This window comes from Homo sapiens, chromosome 2, assembly GCF_000001405.40.
Source record: "Homo sapiens chromosome 2, GRCh38.p14 Primary Assembly".
In the NCBI taxonomy this organism is placed as follows: Eukaryota; Metazoa; Chordata; class Mammalia; order Primates; family Hominidae; genus Homo; species Homo sapiens.
Genome location: NC_000002.12, coordinates 68,801,218 through 68,822,023, shown reverse-complemented (window position 1 = coordinate 68,822,023; position 20,806 = coordinate 68,801,218). Strand labels below are relative to the sequence as shown.

The window sequence follows — 20,806 nt, the reverse complement described above, 5'->3', positions numbered from 1 at the left end:
AAAGTTTGATAAATTTGACCTTTTGATTTCCATGACCTAAAAAATTAAAAAGAACAAAAATAAAAACAAAAGAACAAATCACCACATGCCAAACCAAAAAAAAAAAAAAAAAAAAAACTAGCAAAAAGTATTTGCAATGCATATCAGACAATTGGTTACTCTCCTTAATAGATAAAGTTCATAAAAATTGTGAAGAAAGAGATCAACAACCAATGTAATTATGGGCAAAGGACAAGATCAGGCAGCTCACAGAGGAAAAAATGAAACTAGTCCTTGTACATAGGAAAAGATGTTCAGCCTCTCTCATAATACAAGAAACTCAAATTAAAATTAAAATTACTGAAATGCCAGTTCTCACTTATCAGATGAGCAAACCCCCAAAATTTGACAACAAACTCTGTTGGTGAAACTGTAGGAAAACAGTTCTTTCATGCATTGCTTCTGGAAGTGTAAAATGACACAAACTCCAATAATTTGTCTCAAAATCATACAATCAAATCTATTTACCCTCTGACCCATCAAGCCCACTTCTGAAAATGCATTTGAGAAATACATCTGCCTGAGTACAAAAGGAGGTCCCAGAGTTATTTATTGCAGCTTCTTTTGTAGTATGAAGAACTGAAAGGCTGGGTGCAGCGGCTGATGCCTGTAATCCCAGCACTTTGGGAGGCTGAGGAGGGTGGATCACTTGAGCTCAGGAGTTCAAGGCCAGGCTGGGCAACATGTTGAAACCTTGTCTCTACAAAAAATACGCAAAACAATTTAGCCCAGCATGGTAGTATGCACCTGTAGTCCCAGCTACTTGGGAGGCCGAGGCCGAAGGATTGCCTCAGCAGGAGGTCAAGGCTGCAGTAAGCTGTGATCGCACCACCGCACTCCAGCTTAAGCAATAAAGTGAGACCCTGTCACAAAAAAAAAAAAAAAAAAAAAAGAAAGAAAAAGAAAAGAACTGAAGGCAGTGTGTTCATCTATAGGGACTGGTACATCTACAGAATGGGACACTATACACCTCTAGAAAACATGAGGTCATATGAGGTAGCTGTTTATGTATTGACATGAAAAAGTCTCCAGAATATACTGCTAAGTACAAAAATGCAAGATACATAGTTTTGTGTGGGAGTTTGTGTGTGACTGTATGTGTATGTGTGTGACTGTAGAGAGAGAGAGAATTATACTACATTTTGTGTAAAAAAGGAGGTAAATAATTTACACTCATGTCTTCTTATATTTTCATAAAGGAACATTGGAAGGATAAATAAGAAACTAAGGCAGTGAGGGATGGGGTGGGTGGGGATACGGGAGGGAGCAGAACTTCTCAACGTATACCTTTTTCTATCTTTTTGATTACTTGAACCATGTGCATATATTATATATTTTTTAATGAAATTATAAAGAAAAAGGAGAGAGAATATGAGACCTAAACACAAAATCAATCACTTCTCGGCCTTTTGGCTAAGATCAAGTGAGACCTAAACATAAAATCAGACAATCAGGTTCGAGCCCTCCCTTTAACCTTTGCAGCCAATTGCTTGCTTCAGAAACCCCACCCGGAGTTAGAGGTACCTGGGTTCTGAAGGGAGGACTGGATCTGAGTCCTCCTCTATAACAAGCTAGTGCTACTACATTGGGCCAGCTGCTCAACCTCTCTGAGTTTCTGCTCCTCAATAACACAATACGAATGATAAATTCTGCCCTACAATGTTATGTAATATGAGGACTCTAGAGGTGATCAGTGTAAATTTCCCAGCATAGTGCCTGCCCACAGAAATCAGTAAATGGCAGAAACCTATTAAATGAGTAAAATAATAGCTATTCTCAAGGACTGTGGGATGATCTTGTTACATGAAGTATGAGCATTTTTAAATTTTATTTTAGTTTTAGAGTGTTAGTAGAATGCATTGCCTTCAGAAAGACCTATCCTAAGAAAAACTACAACCACTACCCACTACCTGCCTTTTAAAAACAATCTTCAGGGCTAACAGTACTGTAGGTAACTTGAATCATCTGGTCAACTAGAAATTTGAAATCCATTTTTTGGCCACACATAAAGATCAAGCTACTATATAAAGTTCACATGTTCTTTGTAAAAATATTTGTTCCTATAAATATATAAAAATATTTGACCTTTGTAAATTATTGTCCTCACGAGGTCTACATTTCAGAGTCAGCAGAGCTTTTGGACATTGGGAACGTGAGTTTCAACCCTTCAGCACAAATGTGGGGGCTGACATGGCTGAGACGGCTTATCGAGGAATGAGAAATATTACACAAACACATCACATACTCTGAGAAAGGAATCACGTTTCATGGGTTAGCAGGAAACCAGTTTTCTCTGGACGTTCACCCAGAATTTTCAACAATTCTGACCAAAACATTTACAATGTTGTATACATTTTTCCCACTGAACTTCTCTGGACTGTATTTGAGTCTCTCTTTCAGAGTGGGCTTCAGTGAGGACCTCATTGCTCAGTCACTGGGTGATTGGCACACTTGTCACTCACCCCCCTCAAAGATGCCAATAGAAACTAGATTTGGAAAGAGGCCAGGCTTTCAAGGTGTGTTCAGATGAGTCTGTAGCAGCAGCGCCCACTGCCACTGCATCACCTAAAACTCCCCAAATTGCCACCCGAGAGCAGGCCTTACATGGGATGGCCTGGACTAAAGGAAGAACCCAATGGAAGCAGGAAGGTTCTCTGCACCTTACCATGCTACTGAAGCTGTCTGTCCTAGAAATTCGGAGGTCTTCAGTGGCATCCCAGCCTACAGAGCTTCGGGCCACTGGAGCTTTCTTGGGGTCATTTTTCTGGGCAGGGGGTGACAGGGGTATATCCTTGGACTTGGGGAAGAGGACTTCATGGTCTCTGATCATCATAGTCATCACTCTTTGGATCTGAGGAGTCCCTGAAAGACAGAAGAAAAAGATCTGTTGTGTAGTGTAGGAGGCAGGTAGTCAGTCCTCAAGGATCCCCACCCGTGGATGTCTCCAAACTCGGTTCTAAAACTATAGGGCCCAGAAGGGCCTCATTTTGCTTCTCAAAAGACCCTTTTTAATTGCTTGGAGTTGGAGATTATGTTGAAAGGGATGGAACAGAAGGACACGGGAGTAGAATAAAAGAGGGAGCTGTTTCAGAGGGAGCCAATAGTCCACTGGATTAGTTTTTGATCAGGAAAGTAGGCAATAAAACAGCAGAGAAAATGAAGATATCTTTCTCTCCTGATGTGGTCCTCAATATGATATCTGGTTTCTTATCAGACACAGAGCAAATATGTGCCAGGCTTTCTGCCCCCATGCCCATGGCAGATATCAGTACTCTGTGTCAGGACACAGCCTCAGAAGCCTGCACAGCACAGCTTTTTAAGCAGCCTTTTTGTGGGCTGGCTTGTAAAATGAAAGCTGGCTGGGCACAGCGGCTCACGCCTGTAATCCCAGCACTTTGGGAGGCCGAGGTGGGAAGATCACTTGAGGTCAGGAGTTCGAGACCAGCCTGGCCAACATGGTAAAACCCTGTCTCTACTAAAATTACAAAAATTATCTGGGTGTGGGGGTTTATGCCTGTAGTCCCAGCTACTTGGGAGGCTGAGGCAGGAGAATCACTTGAACCCTGGAGGCAGAGATTACAGTGAGCTAAGTTTGCACCACTGCACTCCAGCCTAGGCAACAGAGTGAGGCTCCAACTCAATAAATACCTAAATAAAAATAAAATAAAATAAAATGAAACCTGCTTGCTCAATCTGGCTAAGGGTATTTAAAAGTAATAAAAGACTGACAAACACTAGCTAGCTATTATTGTACTAGTCTACTGCACTGTGGGACCATTGGGCAAACCCTTGACCTCTGTCCTTTGTTGTGATCTGAAAAATGGACACAATTCCTGCCCTGCCTACCTCACAAGGCTATTGCATGATTCAGATGAGATTGATAACCAGCTTAAAATGCTTGGGAAACTACAGAGCAGTGCACAAATATCAGGGGGAATGTTGTAATTGTTATTTCCTGGGTACCTGCTTTCACTACGGGACCAGCCATACCTCTCATGATCACGGCAGGGTCTTCGACCTTCGACCTGATGAGATTCACACCAATCACAGTAGCCAGGTTGTCCACACTCATCTTGTTAACAGCACAGTTCAGCTGTATTTCATGTAGGAACCTACAGACAGCCAAGAAATCCCATGGTAGAAAGCAGGAAGTAGCCAGGAGGAAGCACTACAGGGTTCCAATGAGAACTCAGGGATGGATCCAATGCTTTCCTCCCAGACTCAGGAATGAGACCAGCCTGCTCTGCCCACAAGAATTTAGCCTCATCCTGAAAGACCCAAGACCAAGGAAGGAAGAGAAATCAGGAGGGTCCTGCCCAGCTGCTGGGGTGGGGGATGGGGAGGTGAATGGAATCACATAAGCAGGAGGCAAGATCCACTTCCAGGAGCTCAGACTGGACTAGAAAAGGTAAAATGGGTATCTGCCCATACCCATGTCTGCCTTGATAGGCTTATCTCCCAGCTCTCAGCACTCATCCCACCCAAGTCTCCAGAGAGGAAAACTTTATTGGTAAGAAGATCTCAGGCCTGGGGAATCCATGGTGCCTCCTTGCTCTCATCCTCTGATTAGAGCACAAGCATTGCTAATTCTCAGCAGGTTCTCCATAACTAATACTGAATTTTTGTTAAAATTCTACCCCTTTGAGGCACAAAGCTCTCAGATTCACTGTAAAAACAGGGAATTTCTAAATACTCTCTCAAAGAACCATTTAAAAATGGATAGAATGAAGCAACACAATTTCAAATACAGAGCAATTATTAAATATTGGTGACGTGTCCAAATGATGAAACATTATGAAATATTATGAAGTTATTTATAATCCAATTTTATGACATAGGGAAATGCTCATAATAAAACATTAAACCAAAAAAAAGGACACAATCCTTTATATAATTTTGATTTAGTATAAAATATTATTCCCCTATATTTACATTAAGGTATGTAAAGATTTATCACAGAGAGAAAACACCCAGAAGGAAAAATGCCAAAGTGTTAATAGTGCTTGTTGCTGGTGAAGGGATTGTGGGTCCTTTTTATTTCTCATTTACTGTTTGCTATATCTTCCTGGTTTCCAAGTCAAGCAAGCATGACTTTTATAATCTAGGAACTACAACAAATTATTTTTAAAAAATAAAAGACAAAATTCAGGTCAGTCTGGGATGAAGATCCCAGTTCCCAGCCGAGCCAGATCTGGGTCAATCCACAGCTAGAGTTGCCACAGGGGTGGCGCACAGCAGGTCCCCAGAAAGGGCTGAAGGAAAATAACCAGGGTGGCCCAGAATGAATGTCTCCCTGGAGCTAAGCTACGGCTCAGAATCACAAAGATGGGAGATCATTCTAGAAACATTATAAGGATTCTGGGTTCTCTTGCATGTACCAGGACTCTGGGCAGTGCTGAGGCAGGCCTAAATGGGGGAGCACGTTCATTTTTTGGTTCAACCAGGTTTTCAGAATCCTTGAAATTATACAGGAAGCTACTTCAGTGCTATGTGAATACAGCTGATCTTCCAAAGTGCTAGACCAGAATCTCTCTGTTCACAGACGTGGTCCCTCCTCTTCTAACTAGGAGCTTCTTTCTGATGGGGTTGAAAACTGCAGAGTTGATACCAGGGGCCTCTCACCTGCAGATGTAGCTCAGGAGACTATAGTTGTCACGAGGAAGGATGGAGAGCTGCTTCATCAACTCCTGCTGAGCCTGGGAAGAGATTTACACAAGTAAATCATTTACCAGTAAATGAGCCTGCCCATGTGCCAGCAAGGAGACCCTGGGACAGAATTGGTGTATCTGTGCAGAAACAACACTTTGGCAGTCATTCCTGTTCCTGTAGTTCTGTGGGTTTAAAAAAAAAAAGGGAAATAACTCAATTCTCACAGAATTTTTTTTAAAAGGGTCATAGTTTTTGTTATGTATACTTTTATTTATATGTAATTATGCCACTGCACCCCACCCTTGACCCTGAGCTACTCTAAGGAAGGACTGTTTAACAACTCATACGTTAATTGTTTGCTGAATGAATGCTTGAGAGGTAACAATCCAATAAAGAATAAGACCACAATAAGATATCTCAGAATCACTTTAAGACTGGTGAGAAAAGGAGGATTCTTCTGAGAAGGATTTCAAGCACTGTGGCCTATCTGAGACATGCCGGGACACAGAGACAGGCAGACCACGCTGGAGGACGGTGCAAGGTCAGACTGTTCAAGCTCTGCAATGGATGGCCGTGGATGTCAGGCAAGGTCTACTAGGAATGCATGTGCTGGAGAGAAGAGGGACAGCGAGCTTTTCCGTGTTCTTTTCAACCACAGCTGCCTGTAGGGTCTGTAATCACCATCTGCAACATGGTGCTTGTGAGAGTACACAATTCACTAGCCGGGCGTGGTGGCGGACGGCTGTAACCCCAGCTACTCGGGAGGCTGAGGCAGAAGAATCGCTTGAAACCGGAAGGCGGAGATTGCAGTGAGCTGAGATCGCGCCACTGCACTCCAGCCTGGGCGAAAGAGCCAAACTCCATCTCAAAAAAAAAAAAAAAAAAAAAAAAAGAGAGTACACAATTCACATGCCGGTGTGCAGGCACTCCTCAAACCTGAGCAGCTCTCCTGCAGAAAACGCACCCTCCAGCCTTGTCAGCCTACACGCAGCAGCTTCCGTAGATATAGACCTTCTTAGCGTAGCATCAGCTTCATGCTGAGATCCCTTCTTCAGTTGAGTCGAGTAAATTCATTGCAAAGGTTGCTACAGACTCACCCCTCCTAGCTGCCACCTCTGCCATGTTTTCACCAGTGAGAAGGACCTTGGTCCCTGTGTGTAGACATGCATTGCCACAGATGTGGAAACTCTCAAAGATGCTGAGATTAAGAAAGCTGGGAGAAGCAAGTCTAAAGTGAGTGCAGGGGTGGGAATCTTATTGTCAGAACAGCATCTAGCTGCCTCCTTTACTTTCCCCAGAACCCAGGGGTGAGATGCGATCTGAAACGTTTATCTTTTTAGCTGCCTTTTAAACCTTATTCCATAAAATTTTATTACTTTCACAATGGTGAGCAGATATACCAGTATAAGTTAAGACTTTTCATATCCCTTTCTCCCTCCCCCAATAAAATTCTTAAGTTACGCACAAAATATCGTACCTCAGATCCATGCAATCTAATTTTTGTTTGGAAAAGAGCTACAAAACCTGTATCATGTTCTCTTCCTTTCTTAATTTTGAAATATAAAGTCAGCTTTTCTCTTATGTCAGGATCTATTCAAATCATGATGCTCTCCCCACCCTTAGTCAGGGATGGAAGTTCTCACAGCTGTGTTTTCTTGCAGGGCTAGGGTGCTATTTCTTCATTCGTTTTAAATAAATATATTCTATGAAGCAGACTATCTAATAAATTTTGAAGTGTGGAAGATAATAAACCTTCCCTTATATTGAAAAAAATTTTAAAGTCACCCACCAGTATCATATCCCTGGGTCCTCAAAACAATCCTAGGCATGGCTGATATTACTATGAAAATTATCTAAGTTTGTGGTGTCTAATATAGCAGTTACTTGCCACATGTAACTACTTAAATTTAACTAAATCAAAATTAAATAAAATTAGGAATTTGGCTTCCCAGGTGCACTAGCCACATTTTAGATGCCCAATAGCCATGTGTGGCTGGTGGTCACCATATTGAACGGTGCAGATATATAAAAGTTCCATTACCATAGAAAGTTCTATTGGTCTAAGTAAATAAACTGAGTCTTATAAAAGATGCATAATTTGTCTAATGGCAAAATCAAGGTTAAATCTAGGTCTCATTATAGATTTTTCTGTGCACCATTTTGCCAGAGAGGGCTTTTAACATAGTCGATATAAACATCAACTTCTTCATGGATCACTTGGATTTGAAAATCTTGTTTAAAAATCATCAAGGTTTATTGTTGTTGGTTGGGTTTCATCAGTTTCTTTGGTTGTTTGGTTGGTTGGTTGATTATAATAACATGACTACAGTGTGGTCATTGTTGACTATAAGGCCTCTCTAGAAATAAATTTATACAGGATCAAAAATCTTGTTAGTGAACTTGTGCACTCTCACAAGCATATTGCAGATGGTGGTTACAGACCCTACAGGCAGCTGTGGCTGAAAAGAAAAACAATCAAAAAACCCTCCCTGTCCTTCTTCTCCCTGGCACATGCATTCCTTGGATGACCACGCCTGACACTCACAGCTGCTGTAGAGCTTGAGCTATGTGACCTCACACCTGCCTTCCAGCCTGTCCTTGTGTCCCAGCAAGTCTCAGCAAGGCCATCATGCTTGAAACCGTCCTCCGATGTATCCTCCTTTTCTCACTACTTTTAATGTGATCTAGCAGTATTTGATTATGGTCCAATTCTTTATTGGATTATTGCATCTCATGAAGGCTGTGGTTTGCCAGTCATTATGATTGAGTTCATATACCTTTTGTTGCTGAGGAAGTTGCATTTGACTATCTTACCAAAAAGTACAGGCCCCTTGACCCACTGTTGCCTACTGGATTAGTGTCCAGAAAACCAATCACTTTCTTCTAAGGCAGGACAACTAACTCTAAGATGCAAACCTTTGCCTCATCCGCATTCGTGAGCTGCCCACAGAGCAGGAACCCTTCGTACTGGCTCCAGGGAACCACGGGCTCTGGGAGGTCTCGGAGGTAGAGCTTTAACAGGGAAGCCACAGTGTGCACATCTGTGTCTCTGGAAGAAAATAAGCAACGCTCTGTGAAACTCTTTGAAAGAAAAACTTTAGGATGTTCCTCTCTTCCATTCTGATGATTCAGTGAATAGAACCATAAATTACAAAGGGAAATTTTGCAGAGGAGTAGTCTGATAAAGAAGAATCAGACCAAAACATTTTTGTTAATTCGCCCTTCTGGAACAACATTCTTGAATAAATGTTCCTCTGTCTCTTCCACCCAACTACCTCAAAGGTAAGTTCAAGGTCTACATTTTTACTAAACGTTCCTTAATGATTTTCGTCTTTATTGCTTTCTTCTTTCTTCAAGTCATTTAGTGCCTCACAATTAGCATTGTCTAATTAGTCTCTAATATTGCTTGTGTTAACTCCTTTATATCCTTGGTCCATTCTTCTCTTTAATCTTCCAGAGTGCTTAAAATAGTTCTGAGGTTCACTCACGTATTTACTCAATAATTCACTCAATCAATAAGCATCAAGAAAACCTATTAGGTGCAAGATACTGCAAGATACTTGTCAAGCACTGGGATTTCAGTAGCCAATCCAAGGGACATCAGTAGCCATCCAATCCAGGGATGGAGCCCTGGCCCCATCGAGCCACAGAACTCTGGGGACTCAAGTATTAAAATGTCCTTACAATACTGTGCGGCTAATGCCATGATATGGGAAGCCCAGGACCCAGGATCCTATGGAAGTATGGAAAAAGAACACCCAAGGCAGAGATGGGAACACATAGGTGACTTGTCAGATGAAAGAGTACCTCAGATGAACTCTGAAAGGCGGTGAGGAGTTAGGGCATGAGGCAGGCAGCATGTGTGTCAGCCTGGAGCATGAGGAGAGGACGCCTCCCCGTGGGCCTGATTGACTGAAAGAGGCACGGCTGTTCAGTTCAGCTTCTCCATTTACAGGAGGGCTTGGCAAGCCACGGGCCAGGAGCCAAATCTGTCCCACTGCCTCTATTTGTACAGCCTGGGAGCTAAGAATTATTTTTACATTTTTAAATAGCTGGGGGAAAAAACACTCACAAGAAGAAGAGTGTGTCGTGATGTAAAAATTACAGGAAATTCAGATGTCAGCATCTGTAAGTAAAATTATAGAAGAACACCACCACACTTGTTCATTTATGTACTGAGCAGAGTATTATAGTTGCAATAAAGACCATCTGGCCTGCAAAGCCTAAATATTTAATATGTGGCCCATTAAGAAAAGTTTGTTGACCCCTGGCTTACAAGGCGATTGCATTGATTCTGCAACACTACAAGGGAAAATAAGATTCACTACCATATTCCTGAAGCTGATTATTGAAGAAATGTTTGTTTATTTCATATTGATAAAACCTGGCATTCTTAGGTAGCAGCCCTGGTAGCATCGTGAAAAGCTGTGATGTGGCAAGAGGTCCAGAATAACCTTGGAATCTCCTTGATTTCAGTGATGAGAAATATAGAATAGGCTGGAGAACATGTCTCCTGGTCCTAGGAGGGAAGGGAGGGGTGGATCTGGACAAGAGGAGGAGAAGGGAGGCATGTGAGGCAACAGAAGCAAGAATACTGGGGCTTGATTGTAAAGCTCTGTCTTGGTGCTTTGTGTGCATTTTACTTTGGTTTTGACAGCCAGTTGTTGTAGCTGTCTCTGAAAAGGCTTCCCCTTTGCAGCCTGTGAACTCTACCTCAATAGGAGAACACGGGCTGGCACAGAGCCCACTCTATGCTCCATGGCTGCCCTCAGGAAATCTGGGGTAGGAACCATTCATTTAACATGGGGATTCTGGAAAATCCTTCCCTGCTGAGTCACTGCCCAAAAATACCCAAGGCAAAGCCAGGCTAGAAAAAGTACTTTTGTCAAAATATGTTATGAGAAGTTCCCGAGAAAGTGGCAGAAAGACAGTCAGCTGACAATTTGCAGGAGCAGAATTCTCCCAAAGTCCAAAAGTTGCATCTTCCTAAAGTCCCTACACTGCAATCCACCCATTTGTCTCTATCAGCATCCTGGGACTCCTGTTTGATTGGGACCTCTCCTTCACCCCCATCCAATCAGTCTTCCAAATCCCTTCAATTCTATTATCCTAAAGTCACACTGATCCTTGTAAGCCTCTCCCCTCCTTTCACTACCCTATGCCTCCAGCATTCTATACTCTGCCCACTCTAGGGCACAGTCCTCAACACCAAAACACACCAATGGAATGAGTGAAGAAAACAGAGTTTGAAAGGGAAGAAACAGTGTAAAGGATAATTCAAGAAACTGGATCCTGGCTGGGAACAGTGGCTTATGTCTGTAGTCCCAGCACTTCGGGAGGCCAAGGCGGGTGGAGAACTTGAGGTCAGGAGTTCGAGACCAGCCTAGCCAACAGGACAAAACCCCATCTCTACTAAAAATACAAAAATTGGCTGGGCGTGGTGGCAGGTGCCTTTAATCCCAGCTACTCAGGAGGCTGAGGCAGGAGAATAACTTGAATCCAGGAGGCAGAGGTTGCAGTGAGCCAAGATCACACCACTGAACTCTAGCCTGGGTGAAACCACTGCACTCTAGCCTTGGTCTCAAAAAAAAAAAAAAAAAAAAAGAGAAGAAAAGAAAAGAAATTGGATCTTTTGAACTTTTGAAGAGAAACAACAACAATAAAAAAGACACCTAGACAGTTTAATCAGGAGAAATTTAGACAGCAAAAGCATCCATCATTAGAAAAGAGAAAGGGATTATAAATACAGCTACACCATGGATACTTCAAAGTTATAATAAAAGAGCAAAATTAGCTATATAAATCATCTTACAACACTGAAACTTACAGAAAGCTTCCCAGTTCATTTCACCAAAAATAATCCTGACAAGCCATGCCCACTGCTGGGCCTTGCTAACTCTCATTCTTGTTTATTGGGTCTCAGCTTAAATGTCATTTTCTTGGGGACCTCCCTAAATACACAAGACCATGTGAAAAGCCCCTGTTCTAAGTTTTCATAGTGTTGAGTTTCCTTTTTAGCACTTAACACCATGGAACTTAAACAATTATTTCTATAAATTTTTATTTTAATGTGAGCACCCCATTGTACTAGGGCTAACTCAGATGTCTATTTTATGGTCTAAATTTGTAGCATTATTTTTTCTGAGTTTGCTGTTCCTCTAACCCAATAGAGCACCCTTAAATGATTCTTTTTTTTTTTTTTTTTTTAATCAAGGGCTAAGAGTAAGTCAGGAGCCAGGTGGCTTCTGGGTTCAACGGCTGATGCACTAGGGATTACCCAAGACTCAGATGGTTCTGCCAGCCCTTCCCTGGGGGCATTGATGCTTGTAATGTGGCATGTCTGTAAGTGCATTTCTCACAGACACATAGGGGTGAGAAGTGTGTTAGCTTTGTAGCCAGGCAGTGTCCATCCTGGTAGAAACTTGGCAAGGAGATTTTAAAGTTCACATTTTTGTGTCTAAGGAGACCAGAAAGACCTGCACTAGTCTCACCAAACAGCAACTTTGCTCACCTTCATTCTAGTGAGGTAATGGGGGCATCTTGGGGTGGAATCCAGCACATAACCAATGCAGAGGATCTGGGTGAGTTCCCACAGCCGTGAAGTTGGGGACAGCAAGAGGGAGCTCCTTGCTCTCCCAAATACCCCTTCTTCCACCCACTGACTCCTAGAATTCCTTTTATAGGAGGCAGAAAAAGCTACAACCATAGCTTCTCACTCCTGGTCTGCTCTTGACTCTGAAAACCCTCCCTTTCCCCCTTTCCTGCCCTCTTTCCACCCCCTTTCACACTGCCCCTCTTCAGAACTCCCACACACAATTCAGGTTAACACTGTCTCAAGGCTGGTCTCTTCCTCTCCCACTCCCAGGCCAGAATCACTCTCAGGAAATCATCTAACACTGGTCACTTTCACTTCAGAGTTAATTTGCCAGTTTTGTTGACCTGTCTTGAGTTATTGGTTTTGTCAATTCTATGATCCCAAAGTCAGCCTGATCCCTGTAAGCCCCTCCCCTCCTTTCCCTACCCTATGCATCCGGCATTCTATGCTCTGCCCATTGCGGGGCACAGCCCTCAACACCAAAACACACCATGGAATGAGAAGTAGGGGAGTATAAAAGGGGGTGGAGAGAGGGCAGAAAAAGGGGAAAAGAGGGTTTTCAGAATCATGAGTGGAATAGGAGAGAGAAGACCTGGTCTCTCCTAAATATGCCCAAATGTAACTAAATAATAAGAATCAAATAAGAGTCAGTCATACCTCCCAAATCAGACTTGTCCTCTCAAGGGTTATGTGGACCTAAGAGTTGCCCCTGCGAAGCCCCTGAAAAGCCCCCGATGACCTTTCCTATTTCTGGATGTGTAAAAACCCTACCCCTCACTTCTAGGGGTGGAGATGTCGCAAGGTAAGGTAATTTTCCTTCTTCCAGCCTCAAATATTTCAAAATAATCAAAGATTCCCACACCACCACCCATGCCAACTCCATAGTGCATAGGCTAGAGCCTAAGGCAGTTATTTGGCATATCCCAGCAATCACCTCTATTCCTTTTGGCACACTATATGGCATTGCTCTAGCAACAACCCACCTGTATCTTTCTTCAGGCCAAGGTTAACTGAAAACATAAAAAGAAACTGAATATAAAGGTGGTGAGCATAATGGAACAAGTGCCTGATAACAAGGTGCAGTTTATGGTGCTGCTGAAAGGTCCCTGTGTTTGATGCCAATAACGGGCTATTGTTCCAATAAGAACCCCATCTCTTGCTTCCTAGGGTGCTAAAATATAGCACCCATGGGAAATTAACTTATTAAGGGCAAGAAAGACACCCCTATGGTTGTCCAAACTACAACTGTGGCCATAAGCATGGAGAGAAACATATAGACCTCAGAGAAGCTTTGGAGGAAAAATGGGCGGCGTTGGTGATTAGAGTGAGGGGTGAGGGAGCTTCTACACAAGATGACACTTAGGTCTTCACAATTTTCTCAGAATCAACCCAACCCCATTGTCCAAAATAAGCTTAGCAACTTTCATTTTTGGAAACTGGGTAGAGTTCAGGCCCATCTTATTAAACCTTGGTTTATGGGCTGCTAATTTGGAAAGAGCAGTCAATCTTATGCCAGCAGGACAAGTTCACGCAGGCAACTGGGGTGGAGATTGCACAACATCGGGTGGGGATTTTACTAGCTGAGTGTGGCAGAGAAGGAAACCTCAGCTGAGTGGCTGGAGAAGGTGGGGAGGAAGGGGGTGGTGGGAGGAAATGTCACTATGCCTGATATGCCCCAAACAGGGCTGGGAGACCTCCACACTTAGGAATGCCAGGCGGCCAAGATATCAGGATGTGCTCCTGCAAAAGGGCTCAGAACTGAGTCAGAATCACGTAGTACTGTGATCCAGGAAACTAACAAGAAGTCCTGGTTCTAGCCACTTCTGGAATGCTAACGAAAGCCGCTGGTGCCCTTGGATATAGATCTGGTGCATTCTCCACTACACTGAGTGTTTGTACAGCTCAGCTCTTCCATGTTCCTCATCTGTCCTGAAGGGTGAGCCTCAGGCAACGTCCCATCTTTCTCCCCTCCTCTGCACATCACCTTCTCCTGTGCCTTAAACATCACCTGAATCTGCCCAGCAGGGTTCCAGTTCTGGTTCACATCATCTGTCACATAAACTATCTGCACACTCTCCTAACTGTGCTCCCGTCTCCCAAATTCCCAATCATGGGCGAAACAAAGGCTCTTTCTGTTGTAAGCCAGGGCTCTTAGAAGTCTCTATGCAAGTCCCATAGCTCAACTGGAATGGAGAGGCCCTCCCAGCCAAGCCAAGCAGAGGGGAGGGCAGAGGTGGGACACTGCAGTGGGGCAATGTACCTGTCAAAGGAGGGCCGCTCCCCAGCATCAAAAGCGTCTCTCAGCTGCTTCACCAGGTTGTCCTGCCCAGGCAGACGGAAGATGCCCTCTTCATTCCGGCCGTGCTCCAGGATGAACTCTGCACATTTCTCCACCAGGATGGGCACCAGATGGGGGCCGAATTTCTGTTCATAGGCCACAGTCTCATCCAAGCGCTGGCCAAACACTGCTGAGGAGAGAGCAAACAGAACCTGCCCGTCATTCTGTGCTTCCTTGGATGAACTATTTCTTGACTTTCTGTGTCACCTGTGTCTTCACAGGTTTTATTGCAATGATACTAGACAAAATATGGGAGATAAATCACTCAGAATATTTCCTGAAGCTATAAATAGGGGCCTGTAAATTTGAGGCAGTCTTTATCAGTCTTTTTATATTGACCCACATTTCTTACATATTTAAAATAATGGTTGGCTTTTACTGAATTCTTTTGCTAGGAATTGCACACTTTTTGTCCTTTAACCTTGACAGCAACCCCATGAGATGGTATTAATGTCACACGCACCTTACTGTTAAAGACACTGAGCCTTAGACACTTGCCAAAGTCAGGCAGCTCAGAGCATGACACAGTTGGGATTCAGGCCTAGGCAGTGAACTCCCAACAATATGCCTTAACCACGGCAGCAAGCAGGCCGTTTTGAGTTCCACTGGCGTCACAGAGTAGTAAAGCATAACACAGTATGGCATCCTCCCTTATCCACGGTCAACTGCAGTCTGAAAATATTAAATGCAAAATTCCAGAAACAAACAGTTCATAAGTTTTAAATTGCATGTCATTCTGAGTAGCATGATGAAATCTCTCGCGGTCCCGCTCGGTCCAGCCTAAGATGTGAGTCATCCCTTTGTCCAGTGTATCCACGTTATATACACTACTTGCCCAGGAGTCGCGTAGTAGTTGTCTCAGTTATACTTAGTAGTTGTCTCAGTTATAAGACTGAAAAGACATAATGTGTATAGGGTTCAGTACTACCTGAGATCTCAGGCATCCACTGCGGTCTTGAAATGTATCCCCCCAAGGATAAAGAGGGACTACTGTAGTCTATCACATAGATGTTTCATCTCACTAAACCACTGTGGCATTTAAAATAATTTAGGTTGTTTACTATGTCCTAATTATAAACATTGCCACAGCAAACACGTTCATTCACCTGGCAGAGATCCTGGAATGTATGCAGTACAATGCATAATTTCTAATTAATTAACATTTGGATGCATGAACAAAAGCGTTTCATTCTTTTGAACTATTTCCTTAGGACAAATTCCCAAGTGTAGAATTACTGGGTCAAGAGGTTTGAACATTTTTATAACTTGATGGCATGCAAATTGCTTTCCAAAAATATTTTCCCAAATTACCCTGCCTCCAGCAAAGCAAGTGTGGGCCAGCTCCACCCCAGCTCTGTCTGCGTGGAGAAACTTTGCTCCACAGTTTCCCCGCACCGGCAGTGTGAGAAGACAAATTTACAAATCAGGACAACCACTGCCTATCCATTCTCCCACCAGGCTTCCATACCCTGGAGGTTCAGAAGACAGGCCGTGGCTTCTGTCCTGTCCTGCGTGACTTTCCCTCTGCCATAATCAGGGCTCTGCTGCACCCAGCACTTCAATCCCTAGGACATCCGTTTGCAAAGTCACTTGACTCTCCCCATGATTCTCTCTCTCACGTTGGTCCCCTCCATCCCACCTCGAGTTCCTGTGGATTCCACCTGTATAGAGCTGTACCAGGCTCTTGACCCTCATGTTCTTTTCCGCTCCTACCCACTACCCAGCGTAGGCCAGCCTCCTCTCTCACCTGTAACCGCTACAGTCTCTTCTCTCTATCATGTTCGAAACCCTCCTGCTGCTTGCCTTTCTAAAGCATCATTCTGCTTGAGCGCCTTTCTCTTGGTTTTCAGTACTCATCTGCTTCTCTCCCAACTGCCACAGTGATGGTTTTCAAATAGACATTTAAAGCCCTGGCAGTTCATCAGGGACTCCTCTTTCATCACATCAGGTGTTGGGAGGTGAGAGTGTGGAATCTAGAAGGAGCTGAATAGGTGGCCTCTGTATTCCCCACTACCACCAAATCTGCTTGGCTGTTGTTCGTTTCACTTATTGCATTGCGGTGAGACTGTGATTAGATACTTCTGTGGCTAAAGTTTGAGAATCAAGGCTGGCATTCCTCAAGGCTTGGCACCCACCTGCTTTCCTGGCCTGATGTCCTGCCATGCCCCAAGAAGCAACTCACACTGACGTTTCCAAAACGTAATGCTCTGCAGTCTCCATGTCCTTGAACAGTCTCCTCCCTGTCCAGTCTGCTCTCCCCCTTCCCTGGCTGCACCAGGAGGACAAAGAGGACAAAATTCTTTTTCTCCTCCTTGGCCCCTCTCAAATATCATCATATCTGCCATGCCTTCCTGACATCCAGATGGAGGGACTACATCCTACTCTGTGCACCGTATTGTTTCTTGAATATCCCAATCCTTCCCGCACTCTGTGATCATGATTTGTATGTACCTGTGTCATCTGCATGATTGTAAGCTCCCTGCTACTGAGAATAGGAGGAAAGGCTGTTTTCATCCCCAATGTCTAGTGTAACCCCTGGCAAAAGGTAGACAGTCAACAAATTTTGCTGAAGGATTTAATGAATCAATTTGTCTTTAAGCAAGTATTTCACATGACTAATGGTTATTCGGCATTTCTTTAGTTTAAACACTAATAGGAATCTCCTTGATATATGAATTCAGCTTCCCACTAGCATGCATTGAGTGCCCTGCCATGTGCCAGCACCAGGTTCCATGGAATGGGTTGTACAGACAAGGGACATGGAAGACCTTGTTCCTGCTTTTAATGAGTTTGCCAACAAGTTATGAAAATAACATAACAGATGGACTGTCTGCCTTTGAGGGGTCACACAAAACATGGTGAGAAACAATTAGAAAATTTCAATAACCATATGGAATTAGGTTTCTATTTGTCTGTAAAAGGAGCTGGACAGATCTTTTCACCAAATTGATAGGACATGATTGAAATATTCCGACTTAAAACAGACCAGATAGCATCAGGAAAATTCTCTTTTGAGAGGTCCAGAGAGGGGCCCTTCAATGAGAGAGGCAGATGTCTCTTGGAACAGTTGAAACTCAGGCTCCAGAGGTCCACTGGACTTGATGGGGAAAGATAGCACAAACACAATGTAAGGATGTGCACAGAGAAGTCAAAGCTTTCAAATTCAAGCTCCATTTCTGAGGTCTTATAGGAGATGCTCCACCTTGCAGATGATTTGGGGCCAAGCTCCTTCTTGCACCTTAATATATGTCTAGTTCTCTAGCTTTTCTCCTCATCCCAGTCTATCAGCCTTGTCCTGCCTTCATCCTCTATTTCTCTCATGCCTCAAATGCAGCCCTTTCAATATTAATCTGACCCATACTTTTTTCTTCAACATCCCCGCCCTGCTGCTTCCTACTACCCTTTGCGTGTCTTCATCAGGCCACTGAGAACTACAAAAGACCATGCACAACCATATTGTGGAAATTTATCCTTCCAATCTCTGCAAGACACTGGTTCCAAATTTTTGCCACTCCTGTTGAGCTCCCCACCCATTCCCTCCCTTCTCTGTCTCAACAGGTGATCTTGGCTCCTCTTTCCTTCCATTATCAAATGGAGGGTTACGAGTGAACTCCCTCATCTCCAGTCCCTGCCTTTCCCATCCTTTCTCCTCTGTGTTCCTGTCTTCTCCCAGAGGAAGAAAAGGGCCCTACCTTTCATCTAGGATGATGCCTTCTTGAACTGTGGGTTCCATTCCTTCCATCTCTTCCAGTACTTACTGTTTCTCTTTGTATGTTGAAATTTTCTCTTTCAATTGAAAGATCCCACGTGGGTCTAAGTCTTTGCCATTTATGAAAGAATAATCTCCCACCTCAGTTCTCATGCAAATGACCAACATTTGCCTTCCTTCTCTTTACCATATACTTGTAATAAAAATGTCTACTTCTAGAGAGATGTCTGCCCCACTTCCTCACTTATCACTCACTACTCAGCCTCTCAACCCATCACAATCTGGTTTCATTAGCCTGCACTTCTTCACTAAATCTGCTCACTAAGATTTCTAGTGCTCTCCTAATGTTCATTCCACACCCTACTTACTGATCTTCTCTGAAGACTGATGTTGTTAATTCTCCTTCCTCTTCAATACTTTCTCCCTACATTGCAATAAATCCAATCATTCCTGTTCTATGCTCATGTCACTGATGACTCCTTTCAAGTGTCTTTGACTGTGCTCCATCTTCCACCTGCTCGTTTGGTGCATCATTTCCTGGGATTCCAACTCAGGCTTCTTTTCTTCTCACTCTAGTATTCTCCTTAGGAAAGTGCATATGATTCCACACATTTAGATATCACCTATAAACTTATAACTTATTAATCTGCATATCTGGTCCAGATCTCTCTCTCTATATATATATATATGTATGTATGTATATGTGTGTATATATATGTGTATATATGTGTGTGTATATATATACACACACATATGTGTATATATGGATATATGTGTATATATGGATATATGTGTGTGTACATATGGATTGATAGATATAATTTATGAAAGAATAATCCCCCACCTCAGCTCTCATGCAAATGACCAACATTTGCTTTTCTCTCTTTAGTATTATACTCATAAAAAAAGTGTTTTATTTTATCATTGTATATGTAGTTATATCATATCTATTTCCATCTTTTCTCTCTCTCTCTCTCTCTCTCTCTTTCTCCTCTATTCCCATAAGTTCAATGTCTAATGGCAATTCTCCCAGTATCTTCTCTAATCTCACTATCATCCCATCCCTAAATCACTGCTTCTCCTGTAGCCTTCCTCAAAGGCAATAGCTTCATTCCATCATCAAGTGCCAGGTACTCTCCTAGGCACTGAAAATACAAAGCCATTAATACAAGGTACCTGCACTTAACTAACCCAATTAGCAAAATTGTGAGCATTAGAATTATCCGCAACACTCTTCACTCTCCCCAAATAGGTTGGCACATTCTTTTTTTTTTTTTTTTTTTTTTGAGATGGAGTCTTGCTTTGTCATCCAGGCTAGGGTGCAGTGGCGCAATCTTGGCTCACTGAAACTTCCTTCTCCCGGGTTCAAGAGATTCTCCTGCCTAAGCCTCCCGAGTAGCTGGGACTACAGGCACGTGCCACCACACCTGGATGATATTTTGTATTTTTAGTAGAGACGGGGTTTCTCCGTGTTAGCCAGGAAGGTCTCGATCTCCTGACCTCGTGATCTGCCCACCTTGGCCTCTCAAAGTGCTGGATTACAGGCATGAGCCACCGCGCCCGGCCTAGGTTGGTACATTCCAAATATGCTTTAAACAAGCTCCCTATTCCCACTGCTGCTGCCTATATCGTTATAATGGTTTCTTTTGCAACTCTGTTTCTTGCAAATTCCTTCCACCAGAATTCACAAAGTCATTCAACAAATGTAGGCTGAGCATTTGCTGTGGGCCAGGCTCTTTGATAGTTAGAGAGTATGAAAGGAAGAATGAAAAATGGTTTTTGCTTTTAAAAAATTCTCAAGAGAATGCCCTTCCTCCTACTCTCCACCTGGAAACCCAGTCTTCTGAATTTGGATGTCTTCTCAGAGAAAACTGGTCACTCTTTCCTCTACTCATAGAGCTCCCTGTGTGTTCCTCGATGTTATCACTGTCATGTAATTTTATGATGATTCACTTAAACATCCCTCTCTTCCACTGGACTGTGGACCCCTCAAAGGCAGACAGTCCATCTGGCTCAGCATCTGTTTTCAGAACCTGGTATGTGATGGACCTCAGAGAGCTGTCACTACCTGCTGCCTCCCATTCCTCCCATTCTCTGCCCCTTTTCTCTACTCAGTACTTCCCCAAACCTATTCTTGTCAAGGAGACCAATGGCCTTTACATTTTAAAATCTGAGATGAAATTCTCTGTCTTCATCTTAACTACTCTATCAGCAGCAAGTGATACAGCAAGCCACCTCCTTCTTCTTGGGACACTTTCTCATGTGGCTTTTGGCACACCAGTCCCTCTTGGTTCTCCGTGTGTCTCATCAGATGCTTTTAGCCTCCTCTGAGGATTCTTCCTGTCCTTGCTGTCCTCTACATGTTGGAGGGTCCCAGGGCCTCCCTCCCTCATCTGCACACTTTCTCAGAGTCTCACCACTTTAAATATCACCCATATGATGAAGACTTTGAACTTGACATCTGCAGCCTAGAAAT

The 20,806-nt window shown here is 43.3% G+C and overlaps 1 protein-coding gene across 11 annotated transcripts in view, besides 1 other annotated feature; it reads right to left on the bottom strand.

Annotated features, from left to right (window-relative positions):
* Window positions 1–20,806, bottom strand: part of ARHGAP25 (Rho GTPase activating protein 25) — a 116,290-nt gene that overhangs the window by 4,810 nt on the left and 90,674 nt on the right. For 6 of the 11 annotated variants that reach the window (XM_011533207.4, NM_001007231.3, NM_001364820.1 and 3 more), the window contains 5 exons: window positions 14,544–14,751; window positions 8,605–8,737; window positions 5,662–5,735; window positions 4,030–4,151; window positions 2,705–2,901 (listed from right to left, as the gene is read on the bottom strand). In XM_011533207.4, coding sequence (XP_011531509.1) covers window positions 2,705–2,901; window positions 4,030–4,151; window positions 5,662–5,735; window positions 8,605–8,737; window positions 14,544–14,751 — 734 coding nt within the window. Of the gene's footprint in view, window positions 1–2,704; window positions 2,902–4,029; window positions 4,152–5,661; window positions 5,736–8,604; window positions 8,738–14,543; window positions 14,752–15,084; window positions 15,296–20,806 lie in introns of those variants that run through there. The other 5 variants (NM_001364819.1, NM_001166277.2, NM_014882.3 and 2 more) reach the window with 3 other exon arrangements.
* Window positions 5,987–6,487: an enhancer, noted in NCBI's record as "H3K4me1 hESC enhancer chr2:69042669-69043169 (GRCh37/hg19 assembly coordinates)". NCBI's record gives its function as "activates a minimal SCP1, AML or CMV promoter by ChIP-STARR-seq in primed H9 embryonic stem cells {active_cell/tissue: H9 hESC(primed)}" and the evidence as "EXISTENCE:reporter gene assay evidence [ECO:0000049][PMID:30033119]".